General features: G+C 40.4%; 1 protein-coding gene and 1 long non-coding RNA gene across 11 annotated transcripts in view, besides 7 other annotated features; one reads left to right on the top strand and one right to left on the bottom strand.

Moving 5' to 3' along the window:
• Positions 5,210-7,827, bottom strand: LOC100506235 (uncharacterized). 4 transcript variants are annotated; one of them, NR_187636.1, is made up of 2 exons: positions 7,578-7,827; positions 5,210-6,059 (listed from the first exon to the last, which is right to left on the bottom strand). It is a non-coding gene; the product is annotated as an uncharacterized LOC100506235 (long non-coding RNA). The 4 variants fall into 4 exon arrangements; NR_187637.1 differs by lacking the exon at positions 7,578-7,827 and adding an exon at positions 7,218-7,528; NR_187635.1 differs by lacking the exon at positions 7,578-7,827 and adding an exon at positions 6,254-6,562.
• Positions 5,933-6,717: an enhancer, noted in NCBI's record as "H3K27ac hESC enhancer chr2:48133799-48134583 (GRCh37/hg19 assembly coordinates)". NCBI's record gives its function as "activates a minimal SCP1, AML or CMV promoter by ChIP-STARR-seq in primed H9 embryonic stem cells {active_cell/tissue: H9 hESC(primed)}" and the evidence as "EXISTENCE:reporter gene assay evidence [ECO:0000049][PMID:30033119]".
• Positions 6,787-6,886: a silencer, noted in NCBI's record as "silent region_11473". NCBI's record gives its function as "represses an Ori minimal core promoter by ATAC-STARR-seq in GM12878 lymphoblastoid cells {active_cell/tissue: GM12878}" and the evidence as "EXISTENCE:reporter gene assay evidence [ECO:0000049][PMID:35858748]".
• FBXO11 (F-box protein 11) overlaps positions 6,879-19,813 on the top strand; it is a 99,579-nt gene continuing 86,644 nt past the window's right edge. For 4 of the 7 annotated variants that reach the window (XM_017005015.2, XM_005264573.6, NM_001190274.2 and 1 more), the window contains exon 1: positions 6,879-7,888. In XM_017005015.2, coding sequence (XP_016860504.1) covers positions 7,657-7,888 — 232 coding nt within the window. In that variant the 5' untranslated portion in view covers positions 6,879-7,656. Of the gene's footprint in view, positions 7,889-8,038; positions 8,285-19,813 lie in introns of those variants that run through there. The other 3 variants (XM_047445922.1, NM_001374325.1, XM_017005016.3) reach the window with 1 other exon arrangement.
• Positions 7,377-7,566: a silencer, noted in NCBI's record as "silent region_11472". NCBI's record gives its function as "represses an Ori minimal core promoter by ATAC-STARR-seq in GM12878 lymphoblastoid cells {active_cell/tissue: GM12878}" and the evidence as "EXISTENCE:reporter gene assay evidence [ECO:0000049][PMID:35858748]".
• Positions 7,927-8,046: a silencer, noted in NCBI's record as "silent region_11471". NCBI's record gives its function as "represses an Ori minimal core promoter by ATAC-STARR-seq in GM12878 lymphoblastoid cells {active_cell/tissue: GM12878}" and the evidence as "EXISTENCE:reporter gene assay evidence [ECO:0000049][PMID:35858748]".
• Positions 8,057-8,106: a silencer, noted in NCBI's record as "silent region_11470". NCBI's record gives its function as "represses an Ori minimal core promoter by ATAC-STARR-seq in GM12878 lymphoblastoid cells {active_cell/tissue: GM12878}" and the evidence as "EXISTENCE:reporter gene assay evidence [ECO:0000049][PMID:35858748]".
• Positions 8,290-9,076: an enhancer, noted in NCBI's record as "H3K27ac hESC enhancer chr2:48131440-48132226 (GRCh37/hg19 assembly coordinates)". NCBI's record gives its function as "activates a minimal SCP1, AML or CMV promoter by ChIP-STARR-seq in primed H9 embryonic stem cells {active_cell/tissue: H9 hESC(primed)}" and the evidence as "EXISTENCE:reporter gene assay evidence [ECO:0000049][PMID:30033119]".
• Positions 11,149-11,418: a silencer, noted in NCBI's record as "fragment chr2:48129098-48129367 (GRCh37/hg19 assembly coordinates)". NCBI's record gives its function as "represses an EF-1alpha promoter that drives an FKBP-Casp9 reporter gene in an ReSE screen in HepG2 liver carcinoma cells {active_cell/tissue: HepG2}" and the evidence as "EXISTENCE:reporter gene assay evidence [ECO:0000049][PMID:32094911]".

Raw genomic sequence — 19,813 nt, 5'->3', positions numbered from 1 at the left:
AGAGAATAATATAAATACCTCTACGCAAATAAACTAGAAAATCTAGAAGAAATGAATAAATTCCTGGACACATACACCCTCCCAAGACTAAACCAGTAAGAAGTTGAATCTCTGAATAGACCAATAATAGGCTCTGAAATTGAGGCAATAATGAATAGCCTACCAACCAAAAAAAGTCCAGGACCAGATGGGTTCAAAGCCGAATTCTACCAGAGGTACAAGGAAGAACTGGTAACATTTCTTCTGAAACTATTCCAATCAATGGAAAAAGAGGGAATCCTCCCTAACTCATTTTATGAGGCCAGCATCATCCTGATAGCAAAGCCTGGCAGAGACACAACAAAAAAAGAGAATTTTAGACCAATATCCCTGATGAACATCGATGCAAAAATCCTCAATAAAATACTGGCAAACCAAATCCAGCAGCACATCAAAAAGCTTATCCACCATGATCAAGTGGGCTTCATCCCTGGGATGCAAGGCTGGTTCAACATATGCAAATCAATAAATGTAATCCATCATATAAACAGAACCAAAGACAAAAACCACATGATTATCTCAATAGATGCAGAAAAGGCCTTGACAAAATTCAACAGCCCTTCATCCTAAAAATTCTCAATAAATTAGGTATTGATGGGACGTATCTCAAAATAGTAAGAGCTACTTATGACAAACCCACAGCCAATATCATACTGAATGGGCAAAAACCGGAAGCATTCCCTTTGAAACCAGCACAAGACAGGGATGCCCTCTCTCACCACTCCTATTCAACACAGTGTTGGAAGTTCTGGCCAGGGCAATCAGGCAGGAGAAATAAATAAAGGGTATTCAATTAGGAAAAGAGGAAGTCAAATTGTCCCTGTTTACAGATGACATGATTATATATTTAGAAAACCCCATCGTCTCAGCCCAATATCTCCTTAAGCTGATAAGCAACTTCAGCAAAGTCTCAGGATACAAAATCAATGTGCAAATATCACAAGCATTCCTATACATCAATAACAGACAAACAGAGAGCCAAATCATGAGTGAACTCCCATTCATAATTGCTTCAAAGAGAATAAAATACCTAGGAATCCAACTTACAAGGGATGTGAAGGACCTCTTCAAGGAGAGCTACAAACCACTGCTCTATGAAATAAAAGAGGACACAAATGGAAGAACATTCCATGCTCATGGATAGGAAGAATCAATATTGTGAAAATGGCCATACTGCCCAAGGTAATTTACAGATTCAATGCCATCCCCATCAAGCTACCAATGACTTTCTTCACAGAATTGGAAAAAACTACTTTAAAGTTCATATGGAACCAAAAAAGAGCCCACATTGCCAAGACAATCCTAAGCCAAAAGAACAAAGCTGGAGGCATCATGCTACCTGACTTCAAACTATACTACAAGGCTACAGTAACCAAAACAGCATGGTACTGGTACCAAAACAGAGATATAGAGCAATGGAACAGAACAGAGCCCTCAGAAATAATACCACACATCTACAACCATCTGATCTTTGACAAACCTGACTAAAACAAGAAATGGGGAAAGGATTCCCTATTTAATAAATGGTGCTGGGAAAACTGGCTAGCCATATGTAGAAAGCTGAAACTGGATCCCTTCCTAACACCTTATGCAAAAATTAATTCAAGATGGATTAAAGACTTAAATGTTAGACCTAACACCACAAAAACCCTAGAAGAAAACCTAAGCAATACCATTCAGGACATAGGCATGGGCAAGGACTTCATGACTAAAACACCAAAAGCAATGGCAACAAGAGCCAACATTGACAAATGGGATCTAATTAAACTAAAGAGCTTCTGCCCAGCAAAAGAAACTACCATCAGAGTGAACAGGCAACCTACAGAATGGGAGAAAATTTTTGCAATCTACCCATCTGACAAAGGGCTAATATCCAGAATCTACAAAGAACTTAAACAAATTTACAAGAAAAAATCAAACAACGCCATCAAAAAGTGGGCAAAGGATATGAACAGACACTTCTCAAAAGAAGACATTTATGCAGCCAACAGACACATGAAAAAATGCTCATCATCACTGGCCATCAGAGAAATGCAAATCAAAACCACAATGAGATACCATCTCACACCAGTTAGAATGGCGATCATTAAAAAGTCAGGAAACAACAGGTGCTGGAAAGCATGTGGAGAAATAGGAACACTTTTACACCGTTAGTGGGAGTGTAAACTAGTTCAACCATTGTGGAAGACAGTGTGACGATTCCTCAAGGATCTAGAACCAGAAATACCATTTGACCCAGCCATCCCATTACTGGGTATATACCCAAAGGATTATAAATCATGCTGCTATAAAGACACAAGCACACATATGTTTATTGCGGCACTATTCACAATAGCAAAGACTTGGAACCAACCCAAATGCCCACCAATGATAGACTGGATTAAGAAAATGTGGCACATATACACCATGGAATACTATGCAGCCATAAAAAAGGATGAGTTCATGTCCTTTGTAGGGACATGGATGAAGCTGGAAACCATCATTCTCAGCAAACTATTGCAAGGAAAGAAAACCAAACACTGCATGTTCTCACTCATAGGTGGCAATTGAACAATGAGAATGCTTGGACACAGGAAGGGGAACATCACACACACTGGGGCCTGTCGTGGGATCGGGGGAAGGGGGGAGGGACAACATTAGGAGATATACCTAATGTAAATGACGAGTTAATGGGTGCAGCACACCAACACGGCACATGTATACATATGTAACAAACCTGCACATTGTGCACATGTACCCTAGAACTTAAAGTATAATAATAATAATAAAAAGAAATTGGTTCTGCTCTTAAAAAACAAAGATTTACCACTGTGTATCACAGTCCAGCCTAAAACTTGAACAAAATTGATTTCTTTTAATAGCGTTCTGTATTACTTCACAGGGAAAGGTATTAAAGTCAGATTCTATAATTCTTTAAAGATAACTTCTGGGTATCATTGGATTGTGTGCTTACCAGGTTTTCCCACATATACGTTAAATTTAAATCCTTAGTTCCGAGTTAATTTTCACTACCTAACTGATAAAAAATTATCTGGGCATGTACTGAAGAATGAATTTTTGCAGCTTAGTGAGATAAGTCATTCATACTTTAACAAGAATATTTTAAACAGAGCTGGTTATTCCTGCAGGGAAACCATATTCAGATCAAACTAATTTCTTAAATGACATAAAAGGAGTGAGCAGCTTTGAGGTGTCTTATGTAACTAAGTGCTGACGGCTTGGGACTAGATGATAGAATGACAGAGGAAAGGGAAGCTGAATCTTTGAAATGGTAAAATTATAATTTAAGAATCACAGTAAATATCACCTGCCAGGTATTAAAATGATTAAAGAGCTTATTTTTTCCACACTGCTATTGTGATAGGTTTTATAAACAAATAATTTTAAGTACACTAACCTTTTAAGCACCAGTAATTAGCTGAGAAAAACAAACACAAATGTTCTTGAAGAGAGAGCAAACCCTGAGGGAATTCAGTCCTCTGAAATTATGCTAAGTATTACTGAAATAATTCTAGGTGGCTCCCACCCCTAAAAGAAATCCTTTTAAATTTTTCTCCTGTTTTCTAACATATATAACTTTTATGACAGCTAATTGACAGAATTATTTACTAATATAGGTGGATCTGCCTATGGATAAAACCTTCCAGGATATTTTGGGTTCTCACCAGAACTCAAAATACTGTCTACAATGCTTCTGAATGGAAAGGGCCCTGGATTGGCAGACAGTGGCTTTGCTACCAAATAGTTATAGTTTTGTCACCTCCCTTCTTTGGAGTTTAGTTTCCTAGTCTGTTGAATACAGAAATGAGATTTAATGATCTCCAAGGTCCGTCCTGACAACTCTTAAGTTCCACAATTGAGTTTGAACACTTTTACACAAAGATGACTTCAACATTTAATCCCTGAAATAAACTAAACATATGTAGAAACCAGTAATGTAGGGATAGGATAATATTTTTTAATATCTCCCAATAGGTGTTCCATTATTGTTAAACTGGGTTCTCTCTTGAGCACTTCATCAGCTATCACGGCTCCAAGAAAGGGAGCAGAAGAAATGCCAAATCTCAAAAATGAAGAGGATACGGTACAGAAGGAAAGTTCCTGACAAATGGGAAGGAGAAAAATCCATTCCTTAAAAACCCTGGGGCATGATGGAAAGAAGAAAAGGGTACAAGGAAGAGGTTAATCAGACTCAGTGTGCTTACTTTCCATCCCCTCTCAGGGTGGAAACTAGAATTGAGGGTATGTAGTTGACATATGCACAGAGACATAGGGAAATCCAAGAAAGTTGGAGATAGTGGTTTGCGTCCCTGGACATGTCTGTGAAACACTAAGACGTCTAGGAGTTCTACTTTCAGCCTGCCAGCATGTTCAATATGACATAAGGAGAAAAATGCAACATTGTTGGATAGTGGCTCAACAACTAGTAAGCCCAAAGCAAGGCTCCTGGCTCATCAAGGCCTACACGTGGTATTCGGGGAATCCAGAAGTACCCATGTGTCTCAGTGAGAACCATGAGGATCAAGGGACCTGTGGAGACTCGGGGTCAGTACAAAGAGGTTATAGTGTATGGGGCAAATGGCTCATGTATGGATTTCAGCAAAAGAAATCAGCCTCAAAAGTACAGAAATGACCAGTTTTATGAGTAATAAATGATAAACGACAGTGGCTGCCATCAGACAATACTAGCCACTCCACGCCAGAAGACAACATAAGGACTGGCATTAGTGGCTTAGATGCCCTTGTAAACCTCCCTATTCCTCAGGGATGCTACCACCCTACCAGTTACTCTGTGAATTTGAAAAAGGTGCTTCCTTTCTCAAGACACTTTACTACCATCTATCAGGAAATTGTCATAATATACTAATTTTGCTAAAACAAGGCATTTTACTGCCATATGTCAGAGAATTGTTGCAATAAACTTAGAAATCTAGGGTATGTAAAAGATACCCCTTATACCACATATAACAACCCTAAACCCCGCCCCTCCCATTAATATATTAGAAGGAGAGTTGGGGAAATAAAAGGTGAAAGCAGTTATGTTTTTTAAAAAATTGAGATGATGTGGGGACTTGAAGTTAAAATTACAGAAAATAAACAAGCTACATTTTCTTTACATCTGAATTAATGTAAGTAAAACTTCCACTCTGCCACACCAAAATACAAACTCTTTATGCCCAATATTTTCCTTTTATTAGTATTTCCCATAACACCTTATATACATATTAATGCATACACGGAAGGAGCCAAAAAGTACTTGTCAAATAAAAAAGTAAATTTTTAGAAAAATCAGAAATGATGGACACACTTATATGTATAACGTAATTTTCCTGTACTTTTACTTTTCCCCTATGTTTATTTGAACAAACCTAAAATTGTACCCATTTGCACCTAGCTAACCACCATAAAAATTTGGAGTTCTCCAGCTGTTTTGTAACAGCTGTCCTCCTCAAATATTTTTTTGAGAAACAAACATAGACCTACGTTTCTCTATTTTTCTGGACTAAAGAGAGATCATCTCAAAATCACAGAACTCTTAAAAATTGAAAACAGGATCATGTAGTCTAAAATAAGTTCTTATTTAAACTTGGGAGGTGAGGGGGGCGGGGCTGACATCTAGAAAGGTGAAGTACTTTGCCTGTAGTCACACACCAAGTCTGGGACTCAACACACAGGCTCGCCTCTTTGCGTCTCTCCCTCCTTCCAAAATACATTTTCCTCCCTCTCAAAAGCTTTATCACGCTTTGTAGTTGCTTAATTATCTATGTCAAACCTAGAGAGCAACTGATGACACTCAGAGACATCGCCCAAAGTTCTGAAAACCAGATAATCAGATAAACTGCCAGTTTTACCACATCCAAAAAATGCACAACAAAAGAGAGAAGGGGGAGAATCGAGAATACATTTTCAGCCGCAAGGCAATAAAAACACGTTTCCCTTGGAGAGAGATTATGTTGGGGGCATCAGGTATAAAGGTAATTCCTGTTGAGGGTTTTTCTTTTCCTTGCAGTTTGTGGGACCTAAAAAAAAAAAATTAAAAATTAAATCACATAAACAATCACAACATCAACACATTTACTTCTCTCCTCTCACATATTATTTTCCCACACATTGTATACACTTCTTCAAAGAACAAATCAAATTGGCCAAAGGTCAAAGCCTTTTCAAGGTTTAGATGATATACGATTAGGCACCGACTCCAAACTTCGCTTACCAAGCCCAAAGCTCGGAGACGGAAATCTTCAGGGTTTGCAAATACCCTCAGCTTGGCTAAAGGGCACGAAATCTCTAGCGCTCCCTACAGCTCAGATTTTGAACCCACCTACCACAGAAAACCCGAGTTACCAAAGATTGGCTCCCTCGTTCCACTTTTTTTTCAGCTCAAAAAAATCGGGTGAAGGTTGGGGTAGGGGGGAAGCTGAAACGGCGAACCGAAGGATTAATCACTTCTCCCCATTACATCAGCAACCCCCGCCCTTTCCTCCGAGCACCTCCTCTCCCAGAATCGTCGCTACGCACTGGCGCTCTCTTCGCCCACCCCCTGCTCTATTATTTGCCCTGATACCTCCCCATTATCACCCGCCCCGCCACACTCCCCCTTTCCTCTTTCCCCCTCCTAGGCGGGGGAGGGAGGAAACCCGAGAGAGGAAACAGGGCGTTGAAGGGACTTCGCGATAAGAGCGGAGGCCCCATTGGCCGGAAGGTTGTACGGGCGCCTTAGATTGGCCGCCTGGACGGAATCCCCGCCCCTCCTTTCCCCGCCCACCCACCCCTCCCCCCGCCGCCCCGCGGCCCTCCCCCGCGCCCCCGGCCAGCCCCGCGGCGGGGAGGGACCGACTGGGCGAGTGGAGGCTCCGGCGGTGTCAATGGCTCCTCCTGCCACGGAGCAGCAGCAGAAGCAGCGGCGACAGGGCTGACGAGGAGGAGGAGGAAAGGTTCCTTTAAGGAGGAGGAAGGACGACGCCTCTTTTTCCCCCTATCTCCTCCCTTCACACTCATTTCCCCTTCGCCGAGGAGAGAAGGGGGGGAGGAGAGAGAAGAGACCGAAGAAAGAGAGAAAAATTCCTCACAGAAATCTCTTTCAGGGGGTGTGGGGGGGAGGAAGAGGGAAAAAAAAGAGCCGGGCGCCCCCTGCTCCCTCCCTCCCTTCTCTCCCTCTCTTTTTCTCCCTTCCTCACCCGCCCGCCCACTCCCCCCGCTGCCGGAGACGCCGCTCGCGAGTCGGCGGGACCGGGATCTGTCTCTTCAGCCGCCGCCGCCGCCGCCGCCGCGCTTCGCCTCGGGATCCCCAAGCGGCGGACGCCCTTTCTTTCTTTCTCTCGGTCTGCCCGTCTTTCTGCCTTCGTCCCTCGCGGCCGCCCCGCCCGGCGGCTTCGGCCTTCCCCGTGCGTCAGGCCCTCCCGGCCGGCCTCGCTCGGTCTCCGTCTGTCTACCCGGGCCTTTCTCCGGACTCGGGGTCCCGCTCGCCCCCTCCGCCCTCAGCGTCTCCCCTTCCCCTCGCCCCCTCTCCTTCCTCCCCCCTCTCCCACTCTCCCCACCCCTTTCTCCTGCCCCGAAGCTCGCTGTGCGTGTGCGTGTGTGTGTCCCTCCGCCAACGCCGCCACCTCAGCCCGGCAAATGAACTCCGTCCGAGCCGCCAACCGGAGACCCAGGCGAGTGTCGCGGCCGCGCCCGGTGCAGCAACAGCAGCAGCAGCCCCCGCAGCAGCCGCCGCCGCAGCCGCCCCAGCAGCAGCCGCCCCAGCAGCAGCCTCCGCCGCCGCCGCAGCAGCAGCAGCAGCAGCAGCCTCCGCCGCCGCCACCGCCGCCTCCGCCGCTGCCTCAGGAGCGGAACAACGTCGGCGAGCGGGGTAAGGCCGCGCTACCTCCCAACCGCCCGCCTTCCCGGGCACCGCGGGAAGGGAGGCCGGGGCGGGCGGGCGGGCGGGCGGGCGGGGGCGGCCTGCGCGCCCTGGGGGTGGGAGACCCAAGCTGAGCGGAGGCGGGTCCCCCGGTGCCGCAGTGTCAGCCCGGGCCGGGCCCGGCCGGCAGGAAAAGCCGCGGCTTCCCTTCTCGCCTGGGCTCTCGCTCAGGCCGCGCTTTGTTTGGTTTCGGGGGCTCAGCACCCTCCACCCCCACCCATCCCTTTGGCTTCTCCGCTCGCTCACAGACCCCGCGGGAGTCTGTTGGTGGCCGGGGGGAAGGCGAGCGGCGTGATTTCTCCCTTTTCTGCCGCCTTCCATGGTTTAGTCTGCCTCTTTCTAGTGGTAGGTGGGGGGAGCGACTGGGAGCGATCGGGTGGTGGGGTTGGCTGGGGAACTTGTTTTCCCCCTCTTTTCTGTGTTAGCCTACCCCTTCCTGAGGAGGAGCGGGAGAGGGGAATCGGGGTGGTCTGTGGTGTTGGCAGGGGAACTTGTTTCCCCCGCCCCCCCGTCCCTGGTCACGGGGTAGGGGGAGCAGCGACTCCTCTCCCAACCCCACAGTGTTTGCTGCGCAGTTTGTCTTTAGTTACGAACCCCTGGGAAGGACCCATTAAATCAAGACCTTTAAATAAATAAATATAGAATCCATCGGCCATTTCCAGCCCCCTCCCTCGTGTGCAGTGCAGTTACCCTTCCGCTCTATCGACACCCCCTCGCCTGTCCTCCCCGAGCGACCCCCCATGCCGCGGTGCTACTCTCCGTCTCCTAGTGGGGTTTGAACGCCCCTTGCTTAGAACTGGCCCCTTGGGATATTTTGTGTGTGTGTGTGTGTGTGTGTGTGTGTGTGTGTGTGTGTTTGCGCGCGCGCGCGTGTGTGTGTTGTGTCCAAGGCCTAGTGAAATGTGTCATTTGGACCCAACTGTTTAGCACTGTCTGGTAACCACCATTGTCTAAGGGCTGAGGCTCCCCGAGGTTGAAATCCTGCTTTAGCAAAAATAATGTTCAGTTCTACTTGGATGATGTGGTTATTTTGGGAGGTTTATGAGGGGGGGTGTTGCACCTTGGTCTCCAAACATAACCATTCTCTTTATTAATTAGCTGTTCGCAGTAGTGGTAGAGGTCAGAACCGTATTTATGTGTACGGTTGTTGTTTTAAGGAGGAGGAGAATTGTTAGGAGACATTTTGCGTGTTTTAGTTGGCGGATTAAGGTTAATTTTACATGCGTTTGTTGTCACACCTCCATTGGTTAAAGGGATTGAGATTAAATGTTTTTTAAAATTATACATTATTTCCTTAAAAACGGTTTCATTGTTATACTTGATCACAATATTTAACAAATGAAGGAGGGAGATGTTAATCGGAAAATAGTTTAAAAGGCTTTCACCAGTCACTGTTAAAGGTAGTCTTAGAGAAAGCAGTTTGCTATATGTTGCTTGAAAGAATGTGATGTTTCAAGGCAGTTGGAGATCTTGTGCAACATAATTGGTAAAAGTGTTTTATTTCTTTGATACATTTACCATTTTGGGGGTAAATTTTAAAAATCTGTAGTCTCATTATTTCCTTTCACATATGTCTATCAGTGTTCTTCTGATGTTCCGTTCAAATAATGTTCTTCTTCCAGAATTGCCACTGTATGCAGTACAGCTGACAAATATGTTTGAGAAAACAATGACACTCGATTGAAATTCTAGCCTTTAATATTAAGGATTCTATTGCTACAGTAAGCTTTTTCAAGATGTGGTAATTGGTTAATAATATTAGCATTGGATCAAAACGTGTCAAACAATTTAGTCTCCTTGTGTATTTTAAAATGTTTACTCTGAATTTTCATTTCAAGGTTTGTGTGTAATTTCGAACTTAGTTGATGTAATTTTGTCTTGGACACTTTTATTCATTTGTTCAAAATTATTAGCTACTGAGGTCTATTTTCATTTCTATGTGAGGTAAGGTGACTTGGTTGTTGGCAGTCACATGCCAGTGTCAATTTTCTTCTCATTGATGTCTATAAACTGTCAATATTCATGAATCCAAATTTCAGTATGTACCCAACCAAATGGTAAATGAAATTTACTGTAGAATTGTTGCTTCTCTGCAGCTAGTACAAACTGTTTTGGAGATTCTGTGTTGGCACAGAGCAGAGAGGAAAAGAACTTTAGGGAAAATAGTGTGAGTCTTAAAGAGGGCACATAAATGGCCTTAAAATGAATAAAACATTAAGATGAATTCGTTAACTAAAATAATAAAGATGTTGCCAGCCATATGGAAAAATATGTTATTCTTTGAAAAATTGACATTTTAATTACGTTTTTTTAAATGTCCGATTCATATAATGATCAGAAGTTAACTAAGAATACTCTATTTCGAAAGTTTTATGGAGCACGCAAAGTGTCACTTTCTAGTTTGGAAAGAAAGGGATTTTGTTGTTGCTAGTTTAGGAATATGCTGGGTTTAATTATTACAGGATAATTAAAGAACTAAAGCTAAGAATGTATGTGTGGTTTTTGTTTTTTTTTTTTTAACCTTTTACTAACTCTTAATGGATATGTAACATTTGCATTAGGATCTTGGATAGAGTTACTTAATAGTGGATCAGACAACTTTCCAGATAGGGAATCAAAGTGAGACTCGCTGTTTTGAGACAAACTAGTTCAGACTGTATATAAAATCATTTGTTTTATATAAAGATGCATTTCAGGTTCTTTAGTGGTAATAAAATAGTTACAGTATAATATGTTTTCAGGCAAAAAGTCTGTCAGAATGGTCTTTAGCTGCTTCATTGCCCACAGGTTAATTGGTATAAAAACTTCCTTGACACCACTTTTAAATATATTTACATACACACGTGTGTATGTGTATGTGTGTGTGTATGTGGGTATATTTGTGTATATACATGTTTGTACATACATTATGTGTGTGTGTATATACGCTTTGTCTTATCTGTAATGGCCAGTGTTTGAAGAAGAAAGAAACTAGACCCTATAGATTAAAATCTTTGAGGATTTTTCAAAGCTTTCCATGGGGGAGCATTTCTTACACCCCACGTAAGGAAATATTGGTCTGGGTATTTCATGGACTATTGTGTTCACTCGTTAGCTGAAATGATCAGCTATCCTAAGACTAAATACTAGCCTAATCATTAGCTTTTTTAATTTCTTAAATTCCTGAGATTGGGATTTCATGTACTAGTAGAATTGTATTTTACAGGCCCAGAGCAATGGCTCACGCCTGTAATCCCAGCACTTTGGGAGGTCGAGGCAGGTGGACCACGAGGTCAGGAGTTCAAGACCAGCCTGGCCAACGTAGTGAAACCTCGTCTTAACTAGAAATACAAAAATGAGCCAGGCATGGCGGCTCACGCCTGTAATCCCAGCTACTCTGGAGGCTGAGGCAGGAGAATCGCTTGAACGCGGGAGGCTGAGGTTGTAGTGAGCTGAGATCACACCATTGCACTCCAGCCCAGGTGACACAGTGCAAGACTCGGTCTCAAAAATAAAAACTGTATTTTACGCAGTGACAATTCGGTAATATAGTCCATGATTTAATGAAACAGTAGTGTGGGATTGGATTTTTGATATTTGTTTTGTTTTAAAATTCTAGAAGGAGTTAGCTTTTGCAGCCCGTTCTGATGAATTTATTGTCTTTACTGCAGGAATGTATTTTGTAATTTTTTTAGATATTACAAAGTATGAGGAAAGCTTACAAGTCTACAGAAGTGCTGTGTGTTCTCATCAGTAGATTTTAGTTGTTAAAATTAATTACTTTGAACTGAGATTGCACCACTGCACTCCAGCCTGGGTGACAGAATGAGACTCCATCTCAAAAAATAAATAATAAATAAAATAAAATTAATTACTTTGAATAGGTAATATTGCCACAGTTTAAAATTCAGAAGTCCCCTTCGTACATCAGCCTCCAGCTACTAAATTCTTCTACCTGGAATCTAATAACTGTTATTAGTTTCTCATTTATTACCTTTTAATAAAAGATGAATTTGGGTTCTGGAAATAATCTTGACATGGGAGTTTTTGAAAATAGATGTATTTTTTTTCTAGTTATTGGAAAAGTCACAGGACTGTTTTGAAGTGCTGAAAATCTAATTGTGATATTTATAGTTCAAGAAATTTAATGAATGCATTAATAGATTTTGCTATTCATTTCTACTCTGAGCTAATCTTGTAGAATAAAAACCTAGTCTCTCTAATCCCATATTTGTGGGATAAAAATCTTATCTATGACACACATATATATGTACCCACATATATATACATATATATGTATATATGTACACACGTGTGTATATATATACATGTACACACGTGTGTACATATATACATATATATGTATATATATGTACACACGTGTGTATATATATACATATATATGTGTATATATGTACACACGTGTGTATATATATACATAAATATATATATCTCCCCACCGGCAATATTTTATGTAATATTATACGTACTGAATGATTTCAATTTTTAAAAACCCTGCAATTCCATAAATACGTGTATATATATACATATATATGTGTGTATATATACGTGTATATATATACACGTGTGTGTGTATACGTGTATATATATACACGTGTGTGTATACGTGTATATATATACACGTGTGTGTATACGTGTATATATATACACGTGTGTGTATACGTGTATATATATACACGTGTGTGTATACGTGTATATATATACACGTGTGTGTATACGTGTATATATATACACGTGTGTGTATACGTGTGTGTATACGTGTGTATATACGTACGTGTGTGTATACGTGTGTATATACGTACGTGTGTGTATACGTGTGTATATACGTGTGTATACGTGTGTATATACGTATATATGTGTGTATACGTGTGTATATATACGTGTATATACTTTTTTCTCGACACTGTACTGATGAGGAATGAGCTGTATATTTATAATATGCAGCAGCCAGGAGACACTCCTTGCTGTTCTAGTCAGGAATGCTAGTTATACTTTCTGTGGCATTGTTCTAGCATGTGATATTTTAACTTCATGGATCCTGTGCAGTCTTAATAGAGGAGTTCTGCACAAGAAACATGATTTTTCCTGTTTTAGGAAGTAAGTACTGTGGGGTACTACTCTGTCATCTGGTGGCTAACCCTTCCAAATGTATCCCATGAGAGGAGACAGTGCCACTCAACCTTTTGGAGGCAGGAAGTATGGGAGCTGTAAAAAGAGCCTATTTTCTTAAAGCTTGGAACTTACTTGAGGGATAGAAACAGAGTAGTGTTGCTATTAGTGTTAAAGTTGTGCTGATGAGGCCTAAGAGCTCTGCTGATAAGGCCTAAGAGCTCTTATCCTGCTTTTCTCCCTTTACTGGAAATTCTGACAAACCCAAGAGAAGGCCAACCAGCTTGGAGACCTACTAGGTAAGGCAGGAACCACAAGTAGTTCCTGATCTGTTAGTGAGAACCCCTAGTTTGAGTATTTTCTCAAGTCCCCCCGCCCCCCACCGTTTGTTTTAACTTTGAAAATAACCAGTTTACAGTAATGAGCTATTTCAACATGAGGTCTTTTATTGTCCCCCTATTTATCCCTGATATTAAAGTTACTCTTATTTTGTTTCTGTCTTGTCCCACTTATCTTTGAAGTATTACTCTGTTTTAGACCTTCCAATTCACTGATTTATCAGACCTTTGAAATATATTCTTATCTTCCACAGAATTATAGTATGTGACTTTGTTGGCAAAGTATTCCCCAAATTGTAGTTGCTACCCTGTGAAAATAAAATTATGAAGATACACTATAAGGAATGAGACAGTATGATGTAAAGAGCTCAGAGTTAAAGCTAGCTAGATATGGGTTCTAATCCTGACTACACATCTGATTAGTTATTTAACATTTGGTGAGCAATGTTACCTCTCTGAGCCTTACTTTGTGATCTTTCAAGTGGGAATCACACCTGCCTTATAGAACATTTGTAAGGATGAGAGATAGTAAAGTTCCTAGCACATGATAGATATTTAATAAATGATAGGTCTTTTAAATATAAAAAGTAAGGGATTGTATCAGCTGTATATAAAATTAAACCCAAGAGATAAAATTCAATCTGTATGACTTGTTACAACCTCAGAGAAACTGATTTGTTGAAGCTTATACCAATTCTTTTTTTTTTTTTTTTTTTTGAGACGGAGTCTTGCTCTGTCGCCCAGGCTGGAGTACAGTGGCGCGATTTCGGCTCACCGCAAGCTCCGCCTCCCGGGTTCACACCATTCTCCTGCCTCAGCCTCCTGAGTAGCTGGGACTACAGGTGCCCACCACCACGCCCGGCTAATTTTTTGTATTTTTAGTAGAGACCGGGTTTCACCATGTTAGCCAGGATGGTCTCGATCTCCTGACCTCGTGATCCGCCCGCCTCGGCCTCCCAAAGTGCTGGGATTACAGGCATGAGCCACCGTGCCTGGCCCCCTTATACCAATTCTGTAAGAGATTTTATTACTTTTTTTTTTTAATAAATGAAGAAGTAGAGGCTCAGCTATACAACAATGAAGATGCATAGTAAGTAGCAAAAAAATTTCAAAATTGATTTATATCACCTAATCTTTCTATAAACAAGGAAAGATACCAAAATACATTTGGCAGAATGTTTGTATAACTTTCAGGGGATGCAATAACCTGCCCCTTGAAGCAGATCTGTCCCCTGTTCTATACCATCTGTCCTATTGGAGATGGCTGCACTAGTCTGATGCTATTGATTGTTGACTTATCTGGTTTCACATTTTTCAAGTAATCTTCTGATTATAATTTTACCTCTCATGTAGATTTGTCTCAAGATGAGACTCTACTGATTGACCAGCATGTTTTTCCAGTGTGTTGATGAGATCATTAAGCACTCATTATACAAAGAAGGGTAGATTTCCCCTGAATTACTCATAAGTTATGAATAAAGGGTATTAACTGATTTTAGCTCATGGTTGTAGGCTGGACTATTTCAGAAGGAGAAAAATGTGCGTTAAATTAGTTTTAGATTTCAGTGGTAATTTTGACTGGTTTGTGGACTAAATATTCTTTTCTCACCATGGTTTGGTGTGTTTCTTATATGTGTAGCTTGGAGTTTTTATATATGTTTGGTTAGCATAAAAAATGTGCTTAAACTTAATCCTTAGAAAATAGAGAAATGAAACCAACTAACTTCCTTTACATGATTTATTTCAGTTGAAGGCAAATATCAAAAATGTTTATTTTCCTTTGAAAATGAATGCATTAATTGCATTTAAAACGTTTTTTAAACACCCCGAATAAGATAGCATGTTAAAGCAAGTGTGAGTTCAGTATGTTAATTGCTTGCTCTCCCAGTTTCTAAAAACCCCGTTGTTAAATGTTTTGTTCTTTTTAACAAATGAAGATCATGGGGCTATGTTCAAAAAGGGGAGAAAATTGTTTTCTTCCATGTGGTGACTAAACCTTAAAAAACATTAAGGAATATTTTCACATCTCATGAGAGAAGAGGTGTCATTCATCCTTTTTTTTGTGTGAAGAGAGCTTTTGTATTTTCTCATACTTAGAGATTATTTGAAGGCTAGAAATGGAGTAAGAATATGTACTTTTAGTTATTTTTCTGATAATAGTGATAATCTCATTTTTACTCTTTTTTCCTAGTGAACAACACTCCTTTTCCAGATGGTTGAGTTGAATTGTGGCAAAATCTTTGTTGGAAATTTTTCTTTTTTCTTTTCCTTTTTTTTTTTTTTTTTTTTGGTTTAAGACACAGTCTCACTCTGTCACCCAGGCTGGAGTGCAATGGTGTGATCTTGGCTCACTGCAACCTCTGCCTCCTGAGTTCAAGTGATTCTCCTGCCTCAGCCTCCTGAGTAGCTGGGATTATAGGTGCACACCACCATGCCTGGCTGATTTTTGTATTTTCAGTAGAGACGGGGTTTCCCCACGTTGGCCAAGCTGATCTCAAACTCATGATGTAAAGTGATCTGCCCGCCTAAGCCTCCCAAAATGCTGGGATTACAGGCGTGAGCCACCTCACCCGACCAGAAGTTTTTCTTTAGTGTGAAATTAACTGGCCACTGTGTGGGTTTAACCTTTGATATTGGTGTCTGTGTTACTGTAGTGTAACCAACTGACTTGAATCAGTTTAGCCTTTGCTGATTTGCCAACTCTACTTGGGTTTAGATACAATAATTCTTTTTTATATCCAAGCATTGATTTTTCTATCTTCCATTCATAGTATATTAACATACTGTATATAAGAACATGTGGCTTTATGAGATTCTAACACTTAGTAGGAAAGGGGATGGGGAAGAGGAAGAGCATGTAACTATTTTTTATTCCCTTGTTATATATTGAGATGGACAACTTTGGTATGTATGTTACTAGTTATTGTTTCTTCCCACATAATTGGTCATAACTTTTTGAAAAAAGAAAAAAACAAGCTTTAAAGGGAATTAGAAGTGAATAAAATTTAACAAATGAAAAGTAGGAGTCTTTCCAGACTTCTATCATAGTAAAGAAGAAATATCAAAGAAGATTTGTTGAGAGAAATAGAAGTTGGAGTAAGGCACTATATTTTGAAAGCTAGTATTTTTAGCAAAGTGTTCTTATGGTAAAGGAAATTATAGACTCACTCACTTTATTTCATATAAGGTCAGCAATACATAAAAGTAGCCACTATACTACTTCACACTTACATATGAATGACTGATGTCTTCATTAATTCTCTGAAAGACATTTGCATTTTTAAGAGACTGATTATGATAACTTGTCAAATTTTGGTATTTTAGGCCAAGTAAAAGAGGGAAGCGAAATTAAACAATTGGGCGGGGCATAGTGGCTCATGCCTGTAATCCTAGCACTTTTTGGGAGGCTGGGTGGGGTGGATCGCTTGAGCCCAGGAGTTTGAGACCTGCCTGGGCAACATGGCGAAACCCCGTCTCTACAGAAAATACAAAGTTAGCTGTGGGGTGGTGGCCCATGCCTGTAGTCCCAGCTACTCAGGAGGTTGAGGTGAGAGGATCATCTGAGCCAGGGAGGTCAAGGCTAGAGTGAACTGTGATTGAGCCACTGCACTCCAGCCTGGGTGACAGAGTTTTAAGACCTTGTCTCAAAAAAAAAAAAAAGAAAAGAAACAATTTGGAGAAAGATCTTTCGGGTAGGAGTGATTCTTCAGAGGCAAATAAAGTATTGGGGGAGGGGGAGAGTAAAGGATTCCTGCAAGAATCACTTAACATTACGTGTTTATTTCTTTTCCTGATCTTTTTCTGACTTTTAAATTTTTCTCTTAAAGTTTCACTTTTTAGAAAATACTCAAAAGACTAATTTTGGGGTGAGGATTGTGAGGGAGAGAAGTAGAGTATGTATGAATCATTTGTGTTAGCAATAGTTGTTTGAATTAGAAACAGTCTATAGTTTTTAAAATATAAATGGGCTATATACATTTAAAACTATATAGTTATGGCTGGGCATGGTGGCTCATGCCTGCAATCCCAGCACTTTGGGAGGCTGAGGCGAGTGGATCACGAGGTCAGGAGTTCGAGACCAGCCTGGCCAACATGGTGAAACCCTGTCTCTACTAAAAATACAGAAATTGGCTAGCTGGGTATGGTGGCAGATGCCTGTAATCCCAGCTACTCGGGAGGCTGAGGCAGGAGAATCGCCTGAAACCAGAAGGCAGAGGTTGCAGTGAGCCCAGATCATGCCACTGCACTCCAGCCTGGGTGAAAGAGTGAAATTCTGTCTCAAAAAAAAACAACAACATAAACTATATAGTTATTTAAATTGTGGAAATAATTTCTGCTAATCTTGTAATTGAAATATGTAAGTGCACAAATCATCCGTGTACAGCTTGATTACTTTTCCTGAAGTAAACACATCTGTGTAACCAAAAATACCTACAGCAAGGAATAAAGCACTACTAGTATCCCAGAAGTGTCCCCCTTGAAGGGCCTTCCTAGTCACTGTTCCCAACCCCATCTTTCTGATTGCTTGGATTACTTGTGCCTGTTTCTTAACTTTATGTAAATGTAACCCCCCAGTATGTACTCCTATGTGTCTGACAGAATTCTCCCTTAATATTTGTTGTGAGCTTCATCCATATTGCTGCTTGTAGCATTAGTTTTTTCATTGTTCATTCTTGTTGCTGTTTAGTATTACATTGTATGAATATACTACAGTTTATCCATTCTACAGTTGATGGACATAGGATTGTTTTTGTGTTTGGATGTCAGGAGTAGTGCTACTGTGAGCATTCCTTTTTATTTTTCTGCATTTTTTTCTTTGCATATGTGAGCATTCTTACACATTTGCCACATTCCGTGTGAGTTTTATACCTCAGCATATATCATTGCTGATATTTTCTCAAAGACAAAATTTCCATTTACTTTGCAAGAAATGGAAACTAAAACAGCTTTAAGGTGTGTGAATATGGCATCTCATAATTATGTTACTAAAATAATTGGAAATTATTTTATTTTAAATATTGGTGTTTTTCTTGAGTCTCTTGGTATCCTTTAACAGTTCAGTCTTGAGGCTTACAGTGTTAACCTTTTCCACAAAAAACAGAGGAGGAGACTGCTGTGTTCTTTCCCATTTTCACATTTTCATTTTTTTGCAGATAGCCACAGTTGTTATTAAAATATGTTGGGTTATCATAAACATTGTTTTTGTGCTAAAATTTTTTATCCACAGATTTGATTGATTTAAACTTTGGACACACAAACATTTAATAGTTCTTTTAATTTTAAGTTTTTGCAAGTATACTGTCTAAAAATCTAAGGAACTTTTTTCCCACTAGTCAGAAAGTTTATTCACTAACTTAATATCACTTTGATTTCCCCTCAAAGATTGTAGGTTGGGTTGCTTTGAGGAGTGGAAGACATCTTTTTTGTATTTAAGAATTTTAAAAAAATACTGTGGACTTTAATATGTGATTCTGGGCCTTCATTCCAAAAACTTGCTTCCTTTTGCTGCTGAAGTGGTGATAAGTAATTTTGTTTCTCCACTTAAGTTTGGAACCTGTTTCTTACTCCTTTAAAGTTTATCTCTTTAACTCTTATGAAAATATTTTGCTATTATTTGGACAGTTATTTCATTTCTAGTTTTCTGCATATTCTTGACTACCCTTTATTGTCTTACAATAAGCTTATTTTAAAATTGTGAAACTTTCACAGAAAAATGGGGGCATATTTTGCTTTTAGAGATGTTTTTCTGGTCCTTGACTGGACCTTTCCGTTCCTGGTGTATAGGAGGAAGGTGAAAAAGTGCCTCTGCCCAGCATCCTTGATAAGTTCTTCAAGTGAAAGCTTGTACTAAAGTGCTAGTGGCACATAAACTTGTATTCCTCATGATACAAGTATCCCCTGAGAATGACAGGGCTCTGTTCATCAGGAACTACTTGATTGAAATTGATGATATGGTAGCCTTAGATAGCAAAGGAGGAACATTTCACATTTGCTCTTTCAGCACTTAAGCAGTCCAATGTTAATGCTACCAGTTGATCTTTCTTATCCGCAAAAAGCAGTGTGGAGGAGACTGCCCTTGCTTTCCATTTTCTTTTTTCAACACATAGCCACATTCAGTAAATGTTGCCATTTACTGAACATTATCCCTAAATTTGGGGATAAGGAGCCTGAGCTGCTTCAGGGTGACATTTGTGTCTTCCCTTTTTCCAGAGTGGTTTCTTAATCTTATCTTTAAATTAGAGGATTTTTGAATAAGATGACTTCTGAGATGCTCTAAAATTCTGTATCATTTGGGTTGCCAATATAAATCAGCAAGGTTTGAATTTGTTAGGTTATCACCATGCAAACGTAGTTCTTGCCCTTGTGGAACTTAAAGTTAAGAAACTGAGTTTAAATAAAATTTGAAATTAGTCTGAATTGCAAGTAA

This window comes from Homo sapiens, chromosome 2 (assembly GCF_000001405.40).
Source record: "Homo sapiens chromosome 2, GRCh38.p14 Primary Assembly".
In the NCBI taxonomy this organism is placed as follows: domain Eukaryota; kingdom Metazoa; phylum Chordata; class Mammalia; order Primates; family Hominidae; genus Homo; species Homo sapiens.
The sequence above is the reverse complement of the archived record's forward strand: the minus strand, read 5'-3'. Positions and strand labels throughout refer to the sequence as shown.